The 19,174-nt window shown below is 47.0% G+C and overlaps 1 long non-coding RNA gene across 1 annotated transcript in view, besides 1 other annotated feature; it reads right to left on the reverse strand.

The window, feature by feature from the left end:
• LOC105371760 (uncharacterized) overlaps positions 1-19,154 on the reverse strand; it is a 28,835-nt gene extending 9,681 nt beyond the window's left edge. The window contains exons 1-2 of the long non-coding RNA XR_934732.2: positions 19,043-19,154; positions 10,517-10,639 (exon numbers count right to left, since the gene is read on the reverse strand). This is a non-coding gene — a long non-coding RNA (uncharacterized LOC105371760). The remainder of the gene's footprint in view (positions 1-10,516; positions 10,640-19,042) is intronic.
• Positions 9,601-10,800: an enhancer, noted in NCBI's record as "P300/CBP strongly-dependent group 1 enhancer chr17:36442025-36443224 (GRCh37/hg19 assembly coordinates)". NCBI's record gives its function as "activates an origin of replication core promoter dependent on BRD2, BRD4, P300/CBP, MED14 and CDK7 cofactors, with strong dependence on P300/CBP, by STARR-seq in HCT116 cells {active_cell/tissue: HCT116}" and the evidence as "EXISTENCE:reporter gene assay evidence [ECO:0000049][PMID:35650434]".
• Positions 19,155-19,174: the final 20 nt, after the last annotated feature.

Raw genomic sequence — 19,174 nt, forward strand, 5'->3', positions numbered from 1 at the left:
AGCTGGGCATGGTGGCACACACCTGTAATCCCAGCTATTCGGGAGGCTGAGGCAGGAGAATCACTTGAACTTGGGAGGCGGAGGCTGCAGTGATCCGAGATTGCACCACTGCACTCCAGCCTGGGCAACAGAGCGAGACCGTTTCAAAAAAGAAAAGAAAAGAAAAGAAAATCCACAGTAGGCGCCATCTGGAATGGCTCAGGTGATAGCCAGTCACCTGGAGCAGAGAAAAAGCTGTGGTCACTAGTAATTTCAGTATTTCAGTGATGTTTCCCACCACCAGCTGTCATCATAATTTCCAGAAAAGCTGCCAAGAAAAAGCAGGAATTTGCATTTCACACAACCCTAAACACACACACACACACACACACACACACACACACACACAATGGATCTTCCTGACTGCTCTTTGCCCTCATATCTTCCTTCCCTCAAGCATTCCAGATAAACAGGTAAGGTACTTGACTCACCTGCAGCTGAATAACTCAGTACTCTTGAAGGCGCCTCCCTTCTGCCAGCAATCCTTACTCAGTTATTCTTTCCTTCCCTAATCTGGATTGTTTCCTTGAAACCAAAAACCCCAGTAATAGGTGCCTTATCCCTACTTCCCCTTTTTCCTTTCTCCTCTTGCCATCCCTCATTCCAAACAATACACTCAGGTCTGTAGCGATCCAGGCTCTTATCACACTTAGGAGGTAACTGGCCATTGAAGTGCTTATCTTTATTTTGACAATATGTGACATGTTTATGTTCTATTCCAATCCAGCACAGTGTCTGCCCCATTGTTGGGACTCAGCAAATGTTTGTTGAATAGAACTTGCCTAAATTGGCCTCAGGCATCTCCTAAATTTCACAGTATGCTGAATTCCAGGGAAAACTAGACCGACTAAGCCAACTGCTCCCTTCCTGTCTGGGAGGACCCACCCACAGAGCAGAAAGGGGAAGCTCCACCTCTGCAGACAGAGAGGGTTTGACTGATGTCCCTCCTCCGCCTGTGATCCCACCCCATTCTCCTTCCTCTGTCACAGGCTAAGGCAGTCCTGGAACGCCTACCCCCCCACCCCAACCCCCCAGAATGATCCAGGCCATTTTATGTGGCAGAGCTGCTAATAGAACAGGCTGTGTATTAGATAGGGTTCAGGGTAGAGATCAGAGCCTGAATTTTATTGTAGGGATCACTAAGAAAGTTAGATTAGTTTGTGTTGGGTTGTTTTTTTTTTTTTTTTTTTTTTTTTTTTTTGAGGCGGAATCTCGCTCTGTCCCCAGGTTGGAGTGCAGTGGCGTGATCTCGGCTCACTGCAACCTCCACCTCCCAGGTTCAAGTGATTCTCCTGCCTCAGCCTCCCAAATAGCTGAGACTACAGGTGTGTGCCACCACACCTGGCTAATTTTTGTATTTTTAGTAGAGGCGGGGTTTCACCATGTTGACCAGGCTGGTCTTGAACTCCTGACCTCAGGTGATCCGCCTGCCTCAGCCTCCCAAAGTATTGGGATAACAGGCATGAGCTACTGTGCCTGGCGTTAGATTAGAATTTGATATGAACCTAAGTAGACTAGTCTGAGACGTGTCTGTAGGGATTGAGAGTGTGAAGCTCTAGAGACCTAATGTCTAGGTTCAAATAGTGTCAGTGCAACTTTTTAACCATTTGTTACACATTTAACCATAAGTTACACAAGTTACTTAACTGCCCTATACCTCAGTTTCTTCACTCATGAAATAGGGATAATAGGCCAGACACGGTGGCTCACACCTGTAATCCCAACACTTTGGGAGGCCAAGGTGGGTGGATCACCTGAGGTCAGGAGTTCAAGACCAGCCCGGCCAACATGGTGAAACCCCGTCTCTACTAAAAATACAAAAATTATCTGGGCATGATCGGGGTGTGGGGGCGCCTGTAATCGCAGCTACTTGAGAGGCTGAGGCAGGAGAATAGCATGACCCTGGGAGGCGGAGGTTGCAGTGAGCCAAGATCACGCCATTACACTCCAGCCTGGGCAACAAGAGCGAAACTCCGTCTCAAAAAAAAGAAAAAGAAATAGGGATAATAACAGTACCTGTATCACAAGATTGTCCAAAGGATTAAATGAGTTAAAACATGTTAGTGCTAGGGCTGGGTATTGTGACTCACACCTACAATCCCAGCGATTTGGGAGGCTGAGGCAGGAGGTTTCCTTGAGGCCAGGAGTTCCAGACCAGTCTGGGCAACATGGTGAGACCCTGTATCCACAAAAAATTTTGACAAAATTAACTGGTCATGGTGGCATGGGTCTGTAGTCCCAGCTACTCAAGGGGTTGAAGTGGGAGGATTCCCTGGGCCCAGGTGGTCAAGGCTGCAGTGAGCCATGATTGCACCACTAGACGTCAGCCTGGATGACAAAGTAAGACTTTGTTGGCTGGGCGTGGTGGCTCACACCTGTAATGCCAGTACTTTGGGAGGCCAAGGAGGGCGGATCACGAGGTCAGGAGATCGAGACCATCCTGGCTAACATGGTGGAACCCCATCTCTACTAAAAATACAAAAAATTAGCCAGGCGTGGTGGCAGGAGCTTGTAGTCCCAGCTTCTTAGGAGGCTGAGGCTGGAGAATGGCGTGAACCTGGGAGGCGGAGCTTGCAGTGAGCTGGGATGGCGCCACTGCACTCCAGCCTGGGCGACAGAGCGAGACTCCGTCTCAACAACAACAACAACAACAAAAGGCTTTCTCTCTAAAATAAAATAAAATACACTAAAAATAATTTAATTTAAAAATAAGGATAAAACCATGTTAGTGCTCAATATTATTACTGAGGAGAATGGCTCTTGAATAGCAGCAAGTTTACTATGTTGAGGTTTGTATTTCTTTTATTTTTTTTTAGAGACAGAGTCTCACTCTGTCGCCCAGGCTGGAGTGCAGTGGCGGAGTCTCGGCTCACTGCAAACTCCGCCTCCCAGATTCAACTGATTCTCCTGCCTCAGCCTCCAAGTAGCTGGGATTACAGGCGAACGCCACCACGCCCAGCTAATTTTTTTGTATTTTTAGTAGAGATGGGGTTTCACCATGTTGACCAGGATGGTCTCTATCTCTTAACCTTGTGATCCACCCACCTCAGTGTCCCAAAGTTCTGAAATTACAGACATGAGCCACCGTGTCTGGCTCTTTTATTTTATTTTATTATTATTATTATTATTATTTTTTGAGACAGAGTCTTGCTCTGTTGCCAGGCTGGAACGCAGTGGCACGATCTTGGCTCACTGCAACCTCTGCCTCCTGGGCTCAAGCAATTCTCCTGCCTCAGCCTCCCAGGTAGCTGGGATTACAGGCTCCTCCCCCTACCATGCCCAGCTAATTTTTTATTTTTAGTAGAGATGGGGTTTCACCATGTTGGCCGGGGTGGTCTCAAACTCCTGACCTAAGGTGATCCACCCACCTTGGCCTCCCAAAGTGCTGGGATTACAGGCGTGAGTCACCGCGCCCAGCCCCTTATTTTATTTTTTGAGATGCAGTCTTGCTCTATCACCCAGGCTGGAGTGCAGTGGCGTGATCTTGGCTCACTGCAACCTCTGCCCCTCGGGTTCAAGCAATTCTCCTGCCTCTGCCTCTGAGTAGCTGGGATTACAGGCACACACCACCATGCCCAGCTACTTTTTTTGTATTTTTAGTAGAGATGGGGTTTCACCATGTTGGCCAGGATGGTCTCTATCTATTGACCTTGGGATCAGCCCGCCTCGGTGTCCCAAAGTGCTGAAATTACAGACGTGAGCCACCGTGCCCAGCTCTTTTTTTTTTTTTTTTTTCCGAGATGGACTCTTGCTCTGTCGCCCAGGCTGAAGTGCAGTGGTGTGATCTTGGCTCACTGCAACCTCCACCTCTGGGGTTGAAGTGATTCTCCTGCCTCAGCCTTCCCGAGTAGCTGGGATTACAGGCACCTGCCACCACGCCTAGCTAATTTTTGTATTTTTTCAGTGGAGACAGGGTTTTGCCATGTTGGCCAGGCTGGTCTTGAACTCCTGACTTCAGGTGATCCACCCACCTCGGCCTCCCAAAGTGCTGGGATTACAAGTGTGAGCCACCACACCTGGCCTAATTTTTGTGTTTTTAGTAGAGATGTGGTTTCCCCATGTTGGCCAGGCTGGTCTTGAACTCCGGACCTCAGGTGATGCACCTGCCTCGGCCTCTCAAAGTAGTGGGATTACAGACGTAAACCACTGTACCTGGCTGAGGTTTGTATTTCTTTTTCTTTTCTTTTCTTTTTTTTTTTTTTTGAGACGGAGTCTTGCTCTGTCGCCCAGGCTGGAATGCAGTGGCACGATCTCAGCTCACTGCAACCTCCACCTCCTGGGTTCAAGTGATTCTCCTGCCTCAGCCTCCTAAGTAGCTGGGATTACAGGCGGGCGCCACCACACCCAGCTGCTTTTTGTATTTTTAGTAGAGACCAGGTTTCACCATGTTGGTCAGGCGGGTCTCAAACTCCCAACCTCAGGTGATCTGCCCACCTCGGCCTCCCAAAGTGCTGGGATTACAGGTGTGAGTCACTGCGCCCGGTGCAGTTGATTTAAAAAAAAAAAAAAAACTAAATGGGCTGGGCATGGTGGCTCACGCCTGTAATCCCAGCACTTTGGGAGGCCGAGGTGGGCACACTTGAGGTCGGGAGTTTGAGACCAGCCTGACCAACATGGAGAAACCCCATCTCTACTTAAAAAAAAAATTAATTGCACAGGTAGGAGTAGGACTGGTTTGACAGTATCTTGTGTGAAAAAGGTTCAGGTCTCATGAAACCCAATGCAGTCAGAGTTTCATGAAAAGACACACTGTCAGATCCAGAGAAAGAATAGTCTCCCTGCATTTTAAACTGACTGGTTCTGACTGTCCCATATTAAGAAAGATATTGAGGGCTGAGTGTGGCGGCTCACGCCTATAATCCCAGCACTTTGAGAGGTTGAGGTGGGCAGATCACATGAGGTCAGGAGTTGGAGACAAGCCTAGCCAACATGGCGAAACCCCATCTCTACTAAAACTACAAAATTTAGCTGGGCACGGTGGCACACACCTGTAATCCGAGCTACTTGAGAGGCTGAGGCACAAGAATCGCTTGAACCCAAAAAGCGGAGATTGCAGTAAGCCGAGATTGCGCCACTCCAGGCTGGGTGACATAACGAGACACCATCTAAAAAAAAAAAACAGGCCAGGTGTGGTGGCTCACACCTGTAATCCCAGCACTTTGGGAGGTTAAGGCAGGTGGATCGCTTGGGGTCAGGAGTTCGAGACCAGCCTGACCAGCGTGCTGAAACCTCGTCTCTACTAAAAGTACAAAAATTAGCTGGGTCTGGCGCCTGTAATCCCAGCTATTCGAGAGGCTGAAGCAGGAGAATCACTTGAATCCAGGAGGCAGAGGTTGCAGTGAGCCGAGATTGCACCAGTGCACTCCAGCCTGGGCGACAGAGTGAGACTCCCTATCTCAAAACAAACAAACAAAAATCAAACATTAAAAAGAAAGAAAAATATTGAGGAACTAGAATATGCCTAAATATGAGATCATATTTGAAAAAGATCTCATAACTTTACCAGGTGAGAAAGAATTTGATGGAGTTTGGAGATATTATTGATGGGGAAGAGAAGACTAATGTCCTCAAACAGGTATAATAAGGCTGACAATATAAAACTGTCAATGTTCAACTGGTTTGATCTATAAAAATAGCATTTTCATTTGGTTCAACCTAATAGAAGAGGATGTAGACTTATTTTTTAATGCTGCAGAGGGCAAACCAGAATCATTGGGTGAAAGAAGGAAGCAAATGTTACATCAATATAGGAAGGAATTTGTCACAATCGGATGCTCAGAAACAGAATTAAGTACCTTACAAAGATCTAGGTTCTTTGTCTGAGAGAGCCCAGGCAGAGCTGGGTGACAGTGTGTTGGGGATATTTAAAATATTCTGCATTCAGTGGGAGACTCTCCATGATCCAGCCTGCATTTGCACCCTGGCCAACTGGACCCCACAGTACAGGGACAACATACCAGACCACTTAGGGCACCCTGGCCATCCCAAGTTCCCAAGTTGTTTTACACTGCTGTGTCTTCATGCATGTCAATCCCTTTGCCTAGAATATTTATTTATTTATTTTTATATGTTTTTTATTTTTTTTGAGACGGAATCTCGCTGTGTCACTAGGCTGGAGTGCAGTGGCGCAATCTCGGCTCCCTGCAACCTCTGCCTCCCGGGTTCAAGAGATGCTCCTGCCTTAGCCTCGTGAGTAGCTGGGACTACAGGTGCATGCCACCACGCCCCACTAATTTTTGTATTTTTAGTAGAGACGAGGTTTCACCACATTGGCCAGGATGGTCTCGATCTCTTGACCCCGTGATCCGCCCACCTTGGCCTCTCAAAGTGCTGGGATTACAGGAGTGAGCCACCGCACCTGGCCAAATTTTTATTTTTATTTATTTAATTAATTAATTAATTTATTTTTTGAGACAGAGTCTCGCCCTGTTGCTCAGGCTGGAGTGCAATGGCGCGATCTCTGCTCACTGCAACCTCCGCCTCCCGGGTTCAAGCAATTCTCCTGACTCAGCCTCCCAAGTAGCTGGGATTACACGCACATACCACCATGCCCTGCTAATTTTTCTATTTTTAGTAGAGATGAGGTTTCACATGTTGGCCAGGGTGGTCTTGATCTCTTGACCTCGTGATCCGCCCACCTCGGCCTCCCAAAGTGCTGGGATTACAGGCGCGAGCCACCATGCCCAGCCCCTTGGCTAGAATTTTATGCCTCCCTGCAAATTCCTGCTCATTTCAAGTGTGACTCAACTCCAGTGTGGCCCCACCTGAATTCTCAAAACGGTCTTTCATGCTCTCCTCTGCACCACCTTGTACCTTGTGCTTACTTCTGTAGTGGCTGTTATGGTTCTTTTGTTATTTTTGGTGTATTTTTCTCTTTCCTACCAAATATAAGCTGCTTGTGGACCAGAAACATTTCTCTTTCATTTTTATATTCCCCAGTGATTTCAGCAATATCTGCTACATGGCAAATACTCAATAAAAAATTCATTAAATGAATGAGGTTCGACATTTTGATTTTATATATATGTAACATCAAAAAGTTATAAATATGAATTTTGAATCAAATATTATTAGTTAATAAAAAATTAATGTCTTTACTATGTGTGATGCACGATTATATTTTCTATTCTATATTATTCATTTTTTTAAATGTAAGTCATGACCTAGATTCCAAAATTAACTTGGGTTCCCAGCCTTATTCTGAAAAACACTGAACTGTATGGTCCACAGCAGGGATTTGAATGGAAGGTATCATCATGGAACCCTTTGAGAACCCAATGGAAGCTATGGGCCTTCTTGCCAGAAAGATGCATACGTGTACTAAAATTGACATTCAATTTCAGGGGCTCCTTGGACCCACCAAACTCCTTCTGAGAATCACAGGTTATGAGAAAGTTCCTTCTAACTCTATGATCCTATTTTTCTGAGAAGTATTAAAAAGTAGTTGGGCCTGCCTGGACAACCTGGTGAGACCCTGCCTCTACAAAAAATAAAAGATTAGCTGGGCATGGTGGCATGTGCCTGGGGTTCCAGCTACTTGGGAGGATGAGGCAGGAGAATTGCTTGAGCTCGAGGTCAAGGCTGCAGTGAGACTGTGCTATGATTGTGCCACTGCACTTCAGCCTGGGAAACAGAGCAAGACCCTGTCTCAAAAAAAACAACAAAAAAAATTAGGTAGCTGGGAGCTGGGCATGGTGGTGAGTACCTGTAGTTCCAGCTACTCAGGAGGCTGAGGTAGGAAGATCTTTTGAACGCCAGGAATATGAGACCAGCCTGGGCAATATAGCAAGAATCTCTCTAAAACAAAACAAAACAAAAAGTATTAAGAAGTAGTCTTGGGGCTGGGTGCGGCGGTTCACACCTGTAATCCCAGCACTATGGGAGGCCAAGGTGGGTGGATCACTTGAGGTCAGGAGTTTGAGAGCAGCCTGACCAACGTGCTGAAACCCCGCCTCTATTAAAAATATACAGTTACCTCTATTAAAAATACAAAAATTAGCTGGGCATGGTAACGCGTCTGTAATCCCAGCTACTCGGGAGGCTGAGGCAGGAGAATTGCATGAACCCAGGAGGCGGAGGTTGCAGTGAGCCAAGATCACGCCACTGCACTCCAGCCTGGGCGACGGAGCGAAAGTCCATCTCAAAAAAACCCCAAAAAAGACCTAGTCTTGGAACCTCAAACCTCTATTAATCATCTATAGGGAGAGCACAAATTTGGAGGGGAGCTACATAAAGAACAAAGAATGGAAAGAAAATTTTGAGGTGAGACAGGTAGGATAGATACGTACATGTGAAAAATCAAAGAGTGAAGAACAAAAGAAATCCCGACTAAGGGTTAGGTAGAGGGGAGAGGTGTGGCAATGCTGACTCAGGTTTTCAGGCCTGCAGTATCTGATTTTCTTTTCAGACTATTAGGCTTGGGATTGCAGCCCTGTAACGTTCTTCTTCCCTCCCTATGGCTCCCTCTCTCTTCCTCCCCTTTAGGCAGCCCTTATGGAAACTCTGAAACTCTTTCTCTTTTCTTCCAGATGGGGAGCTCTGGCAGAAAGAATGTTCTGGCCTATGTGCAATGACTGTTTTCTCTGCCAATGGATAAAGCTAAAATCTGCTTTCTTGGAAACCAGCTAATGTCTTTAGAAGCATGACCCTAGTTAAGGAGAGACTGGGACCTTTTTTTTTTTTTTTCTGAGATGGAGTCTCGCTCTGTCGCCCAGGCTGGAGTGCAGTGGCGCGATCTCGGCTCACTGCAACCTCCGCCTCTCATGTTCAAGCAATTCACCTGCCTCAGCCTCCCGTGTAGCTGGGACTACAGGTGCCGGCCACCAAACACGGCTAATTTTTGTACTTTTAGTAGAGACTGGGTTTCACCATGTTGGTCAGGCTGGTCTCAAACTCCCGACCTTAGGTGATCTGCCCACCTCAGACTCCCAAAGTGCTGGGATCATAGGCGTGAGCCACCGTGCCCAGCTGAGACTGGGATCTTTTTTTTGAGACAGAGTCTCTGTTACACAGAGTGCAGTGGCACAATCTCGGTTTACTGCAACCTCCAACTCCCAAATTCAAGTGATTCTCATGCTTCAGCTTCCCGAGTAGCTGGAATTACAGGCGTTTGCCACCACGCCTGGCTAATTTTTGTATTTTTAGTAAAGACAGGGTTTCACCATGTTGGCCAGGCTGGTCTCGAACTCCTGGCCTCAAGCAATCCACCTGCCTTGGCCTCCCAAAGCCCTGGGATTACAGGTGCGAGCCACCACACCCAGCCCAGATGGGGACCTCTGAATAAAGGGAGGGTAAGAAAATAATTTTCAGCATCTACTGGTACAGTGACTCATAAAGATATGAGGATCTTGAACAGCAACAAATGATTTAAAAATGGAATATTCTGTCTCTGAGATCTAACCTTAGGATCACATTGGTCTTCTTTGAATCTAAGAATAATATCTAAAGTGTTTTTGGCAACCTGTCCAGGAGGCAACAAATATATATCTCATGTTTTCTACAGGACAAACTGTGAAAGAGATACATGTGAAGCCCAGAAGCATCACAGAATCAGCTTCCTATCCAACCCTCAGGAATTTGACAATTACAAGAACTTTGGTAAAGTCCAGAAAGCCCAGGACATTACTGTAGTCCATAAGTAACTAAGCTGAGGGAAAGAATGGAATTTGGGGTGGGGTTAGGAAACCTGAGTTATGTCCCTAGTTAGGCCCCTGATTAACTGTGTGATAATCACCAGTCACTTCCTGGTTCAGTGTTTCAGTCCCTTCCCCTGCCCAAGTAAAATAAAATAATGATTTTATTCTTTTTTTTGAGAAAGGTAAGCATGATTGTTTCTATAGAGAAATCTGGAAAGTAGCCAATCTCTTAGTGTAGCTCTATGGGATGATTTTGGTCATTTTATAAGCAATGTAACCTGTAAACCTCCTGGTTGTTGTTGGGACCCTCAGAAGGGAATGAGATAAATAGGTAGTCTGCTTTCCTCCTGCGTCTTCTGTCTAGGATGATACTGTTGTGTTGCTAACAGAGGGCCCTGGAGAGAGATTTAGGAGATAACTGGGTACCACCCAACTAGGTCAGGGAATGAGTCAGGGCTCAAGGACTCGATACCAACCTCTCCCACTCCTGCCAGGAAACCTCTGGGTGAGACAGATGAGAGAGAAGCCGAGGGGCGGGCCTCACGGCTGCCTGCCCTGGGTCCTCTGGCTTGTGGTTTCACCCTGGTTTGCCCTGCAGCAGCTGTAACGTGTCTGCTGACACGCAAGCCCTGGACACGGCTGTCCCTCCCCCTTTCCCAAACTTCTGCTCAGTTTCAGAAACAGATGGCACATTCCACCCCAGAAGTGACTGTTGGAGAGATGAGAGGAAAAGGGCAGAGCAGAGCTAGGTGGAGATGTGACACTTCAGAAAGCACAGGGCAAAACACCGTACATGAGACTTTTCATCCAGGAGGCGAGTAGGAAGTAGAAACTAAACTCACCTCCAGAGAAATCAGGATGGGAAAAGGGCAGAACGACATGGCTGGGCTGTTGCAGATGATAGAACACAGCTGAAGGATAAGGCTGGGGCATGCCCTGCAGCGCTAGCCTGGAAACCTGCAAGCCTTAAGAGCAAAATGACAAAAGGTCACGTCTCTTGTTTGGAGGTACTCAGTGCCTGCAAATCCATCTTTCTCTCCTCAACATCTCAATTCCCAGTTTATAATAGGCCAGTGCAAAAACGGTTTTAGGCACCTACAATCTACCGAGTTACCTGTTTCCATATATGATTTTACTTACGTTCACAACCCCTCTATGAGGTAAGTTCTCTGCATTTCAGTGTACCCATCTGCGAAATTATCTCCATTCCACAGATGGGTTTGCACTGAAATGCAGATGACTTAAGTAATTGGCTAATAAAGTTTGGAAATAGTGGAGCAAGATCTACATCAGTTGCCAGAGCCCCCACGAATTTCATTATGCCAAGTTTTCTTTGATTTGAAGTAATCAAAATGAAGAAAGCAAAATGATGTCCAAATAGTAGAGACTTCTTAAAAGCTTTTCAAGGGGCCGGGCGCAGTGGCTCACGCCTGTAATCCCAGAACTTTGGGAGGTTGAGGCAGACGGATCACCTGAGGTCAGAAGTTCGAGACCAGCCTCAACATGGGGAAACCCCGTCTCTACTAAAAATACAAAATTAGCCGGGCGTAGTGGTGCATGCCTGTAATCTCAGCTACTTGGGAGGCTGAGGCAGGAGAATTGCTTGAACCTGGGAGGCCGAGGTTGCGGTGAGCCGAGATCGAGCCATTGCACACTAGCCTGTGCAACAAGAGTGAAACTCCGTTCTCAAAAAAAAAAAAAAAAAAAAAAGCCTTTTTTGAGACGGAGTCTCGCTCTGTCGCCCAGGCTGGAGTGCAGCGGCGCGATTTCGGCTCACTGCAAGCTCCGCCTCCTGGGTTCACGCCATTCTCTCGCCTCACCCTCCCGAGTAGCTGGGACTACAGGCGCCCGCGACCAAGCCCGGCTAATTTTTTGTTTTTGTATTTTTAGTAGAGACGGGGATTCACCACGTTAGCCAGGATGGTCTCAATCTCCTGACCTCGTGATCCGCCCGCCTTGGCCTCCCAAAGTGCTGGGATTACAGGCGTGAGCCACCGCGCCCGGCTGAGCAATTTTTTTAAATTAATTTTTTTTATTTCAATAGCTTTTGGGGTACAAGTGGTTTTGATTACATGGATGATTTGTATAGTGGTAAAGTCTGCGATTTTAATACACCAGCCACTCAAGTAGTGTACACTGTACCCAATATGTAGTTTTTTTATCTCTCGCCCACCTCCCACCGGTAGTGAGGAATTAATGGAGATCCCTGAATCTCTCAACATAGGTATTTAAACATCCAGGAATTGGGTTTACATAGGCCTCCCTGCAGTCTGAGATCCGGTGCAGCCTTGGTACCCTCTAGTGGAAGTTTTCTGCATTCGCACAGCTTCCCTGTTTCCAATCCCAAAGAGCTGAGAAGGAAGCCTTCACCCAGCCACAGGAGAGCATCCCAAAAGAATGGTCAGCTGGAAGATAGATTTTTTTGTTTTTGTTTTTGTTTTTGTTTTTGAGATGGAGTCTTGCTCTGTTGCCCAGGCTGGAGTGCAATGGCACGATCTTGGCTCACTGCAACCTCCGCCTCCCAGGTTCAAGCAATTCTCCTGCCTCAACCTTTCAAATAGCTGGGACTACAGATGCACGCCGCCATGCCCGGCTAATTTTTTGTATTTTAGTAGAGATACGGTTTCATCATGTTGCCCAGGCTGGTCTTGAACTCCTGAGCTCAGGCAATCCACCTGCCTCGGCCTCCCAAAGTGCTGGGATTACAGACGTGAGCCACCGTGCCCGCCCGGAAGGTAGATTTTTGTATAGCAGGGTCATGCAGGGTAGAGGAAGGAATACAGACTAGAGAAAATGTGTGCCAAGCACTTGGTTCACAAGGGACCCCCAAAATGAGTCACTGTTAGTATATAAATGAGCTTAGGACTTTGTACATTATTAATAGGGGCTCAATATACATAACACAGGACTGTAGGCCTTTAGGGCTCTAGAGGGAGACTTTTTTTGAGACGGAGTATCGCTCTGTCGCCCAGGTTGGAGTGCAGTGGCATGATCTCGGTTCACTGCAACCTCCACCTCCCGGGTTCAAGTGATTCTCCTGCCTCAGCCTCCTGAGTAGCTGGGACTATAGGCACATGCCACCACGCCCAGCTGTATTTTTAGTAGAGACGGGGTTTCACCATCTTTACCAGGCTGGTCTCAAACTCCTGACCTCGTGATCCACCCGCCTTGGCCTCCCAAAGTGCTGGGATTACAGGTGTGAGCCACTGTGCCCGGCTGAGACTTTTTTTTTTTAATGGAGAAAATTAGTGATCAGAGAACAAACTGACTTTGGGCAAAGCAATTTGCCAAAGGCCAAAGGGCAAATCAATGTCGGCAATGGTGGTACTAGAATCCATATCTCCTGTCTCCCAATCCAGAGGTGTTTCCACTCTATCGCACTTCCTTATTTGTTGGTTGATTGATTTTAGCCATAAATTGGTGTGCATACAAGGACATAAAGGTTGTAGGTATAACAAGGATATTGTTTCTGCCTTCATCTGCCCACAATCCATACATTTTTCATTCTTTCATCCAATGGGCACATTTATAGAGTGCCTATTCTTGCCACACTAGGCATTGCTTTTCAAGTTTGTGGACCCTTTTACAGGGTACTCCAGCATATGAGAAGAAGTTCCCAGGCTACTGGAACCCCATGCCTACAGCCCTCCAAGGCACTCCTGGAGCTTCTTTCCCAAGTTTCTAGCACTAAATTGTTAGGTTTATTTCTGTCTCCCTCCCCCTGGAGAGGTAATCCCTGGGAATGGAAGTGGGTTAGAAACAGATTACTCTGATCCAAGGGCTTTGCTCTCTCCTCCCTAAACATGGTGTGGGAGGTGGGGGATGTGGGGAGTTGAAAATAGCCTGAAATTCCCTTTTAGGATTATTGCTTGATTTAGCTATCTGGGGTGAAAGTGGAGCAAGAAGAGGTGAGGGATTAATTCTAGACCTAGCTTGAGCAATGGGATGCATGGGCTTCTTTTCTGGCTCAGCCAAGGTGAGCAAGCAACATCTCTTCCGAAACCTGTCTTTAGAATAAGGAATCTAGGGCAAGGAAGCAGAAAGAGGTAAAGGAAAAGGATTTGTCCCCAGCAGCAGGGGTGAGTGGAAGGATAGATGGGAAAGAACAGCAGCTAAGAGAAGAAAGACCTTCAGCACAGGAATAAGGAATGACTTTTGGGCTTGGAAGCTACCTGCATTTCAGTGGTCTTAGCTTCAACAAAGGCGAGAACTGCTCTCTAGGGGAAGAGAGCTAACGCTCAGGGCTTCCTGTGGACTTCTTGTTCATCCATCCAACAGGAACTCTCTTGCTTTAGGCACGCTGCACTGGGGTGGACTCTGGGGGCAGGGATGTTATCTGTGTCCAGCACAAAGAGCAGTTACACTTTCCAGGTTTCTGCTAGGCTCCTTATATCCCTTTCAGGGCTATGATGGGGCTTGGAAGCAGTAATTATAACTAACCAGAGTGGGACCATATATGAATTCACTTTATGAGTTAACAACAATTCTACTTAAATTCTACTTAATAACCCCCTTCCTTTCTTACTTTTTTTTTTCTTTGATACAGAGTCTTGCTCGGTCGCCCAGACTGGAGTGCAATGGTGCGATCTCGGCTCACTGCAATCTCCACCTCCTGGGTTCAAGGGATTCTCCTGCCTCAACCTCCCGAGTAGCTGGGACTACAGGCACGTGCCACCACAGCTGGCTAATTTTTGTATTCTTAGTAGAGATGGGGTTTCACCATGTTGGCCAGGCTGTTCTTGAACTCTTGACCTCGTGACCCACCCACCTCAGCCTCCCAAAGTGCTGGGATTACAGGTGTGAGCCACCGTGCCCAGCCCCCTACTTTTTCTTTTTTTTTTTGAGACGGAGTCTCACTCTGTCGCCCAGGCTGGAGTGCAGTGGCACGATCTCAGCTCACTGCAACCTCCAACTCCCAGGTTCAAGCAATTCTCCTGCCTCAGCCTCCTGAGTAGCTGGGGCTACAGGCATGCACCACCACGCCCAGCTAATTTTTGTATTTTTAGTAGAGGCAGGGTTTCACCATGTTGTCCAGGATAGTCTCAATCTCTTGACCTCGTGATCTGCCCGCCTTGGCCTCCCAAAGTGCTGGGATTACAGGCGTGAGCCACTGCGCCCGGCCAATAACCCCCTTTCTATAGGTGAGGAAAAAAGGTGAAGCTAAGATGTAAACTCAGGCACTATAGCATTCTTAACCACTTTCACTATGTGAAAGCCATATACAGTCAACTCGAGTGACAAACAAGCTCTACTAATATTGCTTGCTAAAGATCAGCTGAAGCCGAGCGTGGTGGCTCACACCTGTAATCCCAACACTTTGGGATACTGAGAGGGGAGGATTGCTTGAGCCCAGGAGATTGAGACCAGCCTGGGCAAAATGGCAAGACCTTGTCTCTACAAAAAAAAAAAAAAAAAAATGCTGGATATGGTGGCATGCTCTTGTAGTCCCAGCTACTAGGGAGACTGAAGCAAGAGGATCCCTTGAGCCCAGGAATTTGAGGCAGCAGTGAGCTGTGATGGTACCATTGCACCCCAGCCTGGTGCCAAAGCGAGACCCCATCTCTAAGTAACTAACTAATTAACTAAAGCTCAGTTGAGAATATTTCTTAGAAAGTCAGGATCCTTGTTTCTTCTACAGCACCTTATTTTGGACAATTCACTTATTTTGCTCTCCATAGTCTCACTTTAGGGAAGGGAAGTACAATATAAATACATGGCAAGCCTAGTACTTGCTCCAATTCTAGTATCATATTGTTTAGAATTGGGTTCTTCCCAGTTCTCCAGAAGAATTTTCCTGGTTCAAATCAGCTGTGCTTCTCCTAGAAAGTAGGTCACTACGCAGAATTTCTGAAGTTTCCATCTCTGATGTCATCTGCCACTGGGAGGGGAAAAAATGTAAGTGTGTGCTCCACTGCTTACATAGGAAGAGTCTCATTCTCTTTGGTCTCCATTTATTTTATTTATTTATTTTTTGAGACAGAGTCTCACTCTGTCACCCAGGCTGGAATACAGTGGCACAATCTTGGCTCACTGCAGCCTCTGCCTCCCAGGTTCAAATGATTCTCATGCCTCAGCCTCCCAAGAAGCTGGGACTACAGGCTCATGCCACCACGCCCAGCTGATTTTTGTAATTTTAGTAGAGATGGGGTTTCACCATGTTGGCTAGGCTGGTCTCGAACTCCTGGCCTCAAGCAATCCGCCTGCCTCAGCCTCCAAAAGTGCTGGGATTAGAGGTGTGAGCCACCACACCCAGCCCTCTTCGGGCTCCATTTAGAAATTTCAATACGACAACAAGGGATTCCAGTAACCCACTTCACTGGGAAAAACAGGAAATCAACTTTTCCTTCTGCCTCATTATATTTCTTTTTCTTTTCTTTTCTTTTTTTTTTTTTTTGAGATGGAGTGTCGCTTTTTCGCCCAGGCTGGAGTGCAGTGGCCAGATCTCTGCTCACTTCAAGCTCCGCCTCCTGGGTTCATGCCATTCTCCTGCCTCAGCCTCCTGAGTAGCTGGGACTACAGGCGCCTGCCACCGCGCCCGACTAATTTTTTGTATTTTCAGTAGAGATGGGGTTTCCGTGTTAGCCAGGATGGTCTCGATCTCCTGACCTCGTGATTCACCCGCCTCGGCCTCCCAAAGTGCTGGGATTACAGGCGTGAGCCACCGCGCCCGGCCTGCCCCATCATATTTCAACTGGAATTCTTCACATCTGCTTATTGTATAAATAAATATTGGAGTGTCTACTATGTGCAAGAGTGTTCTTTGCCAAGACTGAGCCCCTAACAATCGATTCCTTCCTCTACTTGCACAATGAGTTCTCTTCTCTTGCTCCCATCATCGTGACAAGATCTTTTTATCTTGCTTTTTCTGAAATGTGAATTACTAAGATTGTAGGATTAAGAAATACCCTTTTTGGCTGGGCACGGTGGCTCATGCCTGTAATCCCAGCACTTTAGGAAGATGAGGCAGGTGGATCACCTGAGGTCAGGAGTTCGACACCAGCCTGACCAACACGGTGAAACCCCATCTTTACTAAAAATAGAAAAAATTAGCCAGGCTTGGTGGCGGGCACCTGTAATCCCAGCTACTTCGGAGGCTGAGGTAGGAGAATCACTTGAACCTGGAGGCCGACGTTGCAGTGAGCCGAGATCGTCCCACTGTACGCCAGCCTGGGCAACAAAGTGAAACTTCATCTCAAAAAAAAAAAGAAAGAAAAGAAATATCCTTTTGGTGTTACTTCTCTAACAGACAGCTCCCAATTTTCTTCTTTTTTTTTTTTTTTTTTTTTTTTGGGGGGGATTGAGTTTTGCTCTTGTTGCCCAGGCTAGAGTGCAATGGCATGATCTCGGCTCACCGCAACCTCCACCTCCCGGGTTCAAGCAATTCTCCTGCCTCAGCCTTCCGAAGAGCTGGGATTACAGGCGCCCGCTACCACGCCCAGCTAATTTTTTGTATTTTTAGTAGAGACGGGGTTTCTCCATGTTGGTCAGGCTGGTCTTGAGCTCCTGACCTCAGGTGATCTGCCTGCCTCAGCCTCCCGAAGTGCTGGGATTACACGCGTGAGCCACTGTGCCTGGCCAGCTCCCAATTTTCCATGAAGCTGATGAGGTAGGAAGATATGAATTTTCCAAAACAGTAGCTCATCAAACAACAACAAAACTAACTTATAGCTCATCTCTAAGCAATTAAATGATATTGACTCCCCTATCATTATTTCATCCAGGCTGATATGGAACAAGTTTGTATTAACTGAGAAACTGATCAGAGGGTGGGCAGAGATGATCTGGGATGTGTTGGCTACTGTGTGAGGCTAACATAAAACTCAATGGTGGAGGAAGTAATCTAAGATAAATTATATTAATGTTCTGCATTAATCAATAATCTTGGCCAGGCGCGGTGGCTCACGCCTGTAATCCCAGAACTCTGGGAGGCCGAGGCAGATGGATCACCTGAGGTCAGGAATTAGAGATCAGCCTGGCGATGTGGTGAAACCCTATCTCTACTAAAAATACAAAAATTAGCCAGGCATAGTGGCAGGCACCTGTAATCCCAGCTACTCGGGGGACTGAGGCAGGAGAATCGCTTGAACCCAGGGGGCAGAGGTCGCAGTGAACTGAGATCGAGCTATTGCACTCCAGCCTGGATGACAGAGTGAAACTGCATCTGAAAAAAAACAAAAAAACAAACAAAAAAAACACCTCTCATCCATGGAGTAAACTTTCCTCACTTTGGTTGGGAATACCAGTAAAAATAATTCATGTTTTGGCCGGGCACGGTGGCTCACCCCTGTAATCCCAGCAATTTGAGAGGCCGAGGTGGGCGGATCACCTGAGGTCAGGAGTTTGAGACCATCCCGGCCAACATGGTGAAACCCCATCTCTACTAAAAATACAAAAAATTAGCTGGGCGTGGTGGTGGGCACCTGTAATCCCAGTTACTTGGGAGGCTGAGGCAGGAGAATCACTTGAACCCGAGAGATGGAGGTTGCAGCGAGCCAAGATTGCGCTATCGCATTCCATCCTGGCTGACGAGTGAAAACTGTCTCAAGAGAAAAAAAAAATCATGTTTTATTTTCTAGGGATTAGAGTAGGTGGACAGGAGTCTGTTAAATAATCAGATATAGCTTATTTAAATGCTTAATAACATATATTCTATTTTTTTCTTTTTTCTTGTTTCCCTATGCTTCTATAGGCACTGAATAGCTCTGTTGCCCAGGCTGGAGTGCAGTGGTGGGATCTTGGCTTACTGCAACCTCTGCCTCCTGGACTTAAGCCATCCTCCCACCTCAGCCTCCCCAGTAGCTGGGGCCACCATGCCCAGCTATTTTTTTTTTTTTTTTTTTTTGAGACGGAGTCTTGCTCTGTCGCTCAGGCTGGAGTTCAGTGGCACAATCTCGGCTCACTGCAAGCTCCGCCTCCCAGGTTCACTCCATTCTCCTGTCTCAGCCTCTGGAGTAGCTGGGACTACAGGCGTCTGCCACCATGCCCGGCTAATTTTTTTTGTATTTTTAGTAGAGACGGGGTTTCACCATGTTAGCCAGGATGGTCTCAATCTCCTGACCTCGTGATTCGCCTGCCTCGGCCTCCCAAAGTGCAGGGATTACAGGTGTGAGCCACCGCACCCGGCCTAATTTTTTAATTTTTTTGTAGAGATAGGGTTTTGCCATATTGGGCAGGCTGGTCTTGAACTCCTGGACTCAAGGGATCTAACCCACTTCCGCCTCTCAAAGTGCTGGGATTACAAGTGTGAGCCACCCCACACGACCCCACATACTCTTCAACACATACATACAGCACTAATTTCATGTCACTATTAATGTGTCGTGCTATAGGTTCAATACTGTGGCTGGAACTTGTAGGGAAATACTTACCACATAAGAATGTACGATATAGCTGCGAAGTCAAGCTTTAAAAAACGCCTGTAATCCTTGCACTTTGGGAGGCCGAGGTGGGCGGATTGCCGGAGCTCAGGAGTTGGAGACCAGCCTGGGCAACACGGTGAA

The sequence above is a fragment of the Homo sapiens genome, chromosome 17 (assembly GCF_000001405.40).
Source record: "Homo sapiens chromosome 17, GRCh38.p14 Primary Assembly".
NCBI lineage: Eukaryota > Metazoa > Chordata > Mammalia > Primates > Hominidae > Homo > Homo sapiens.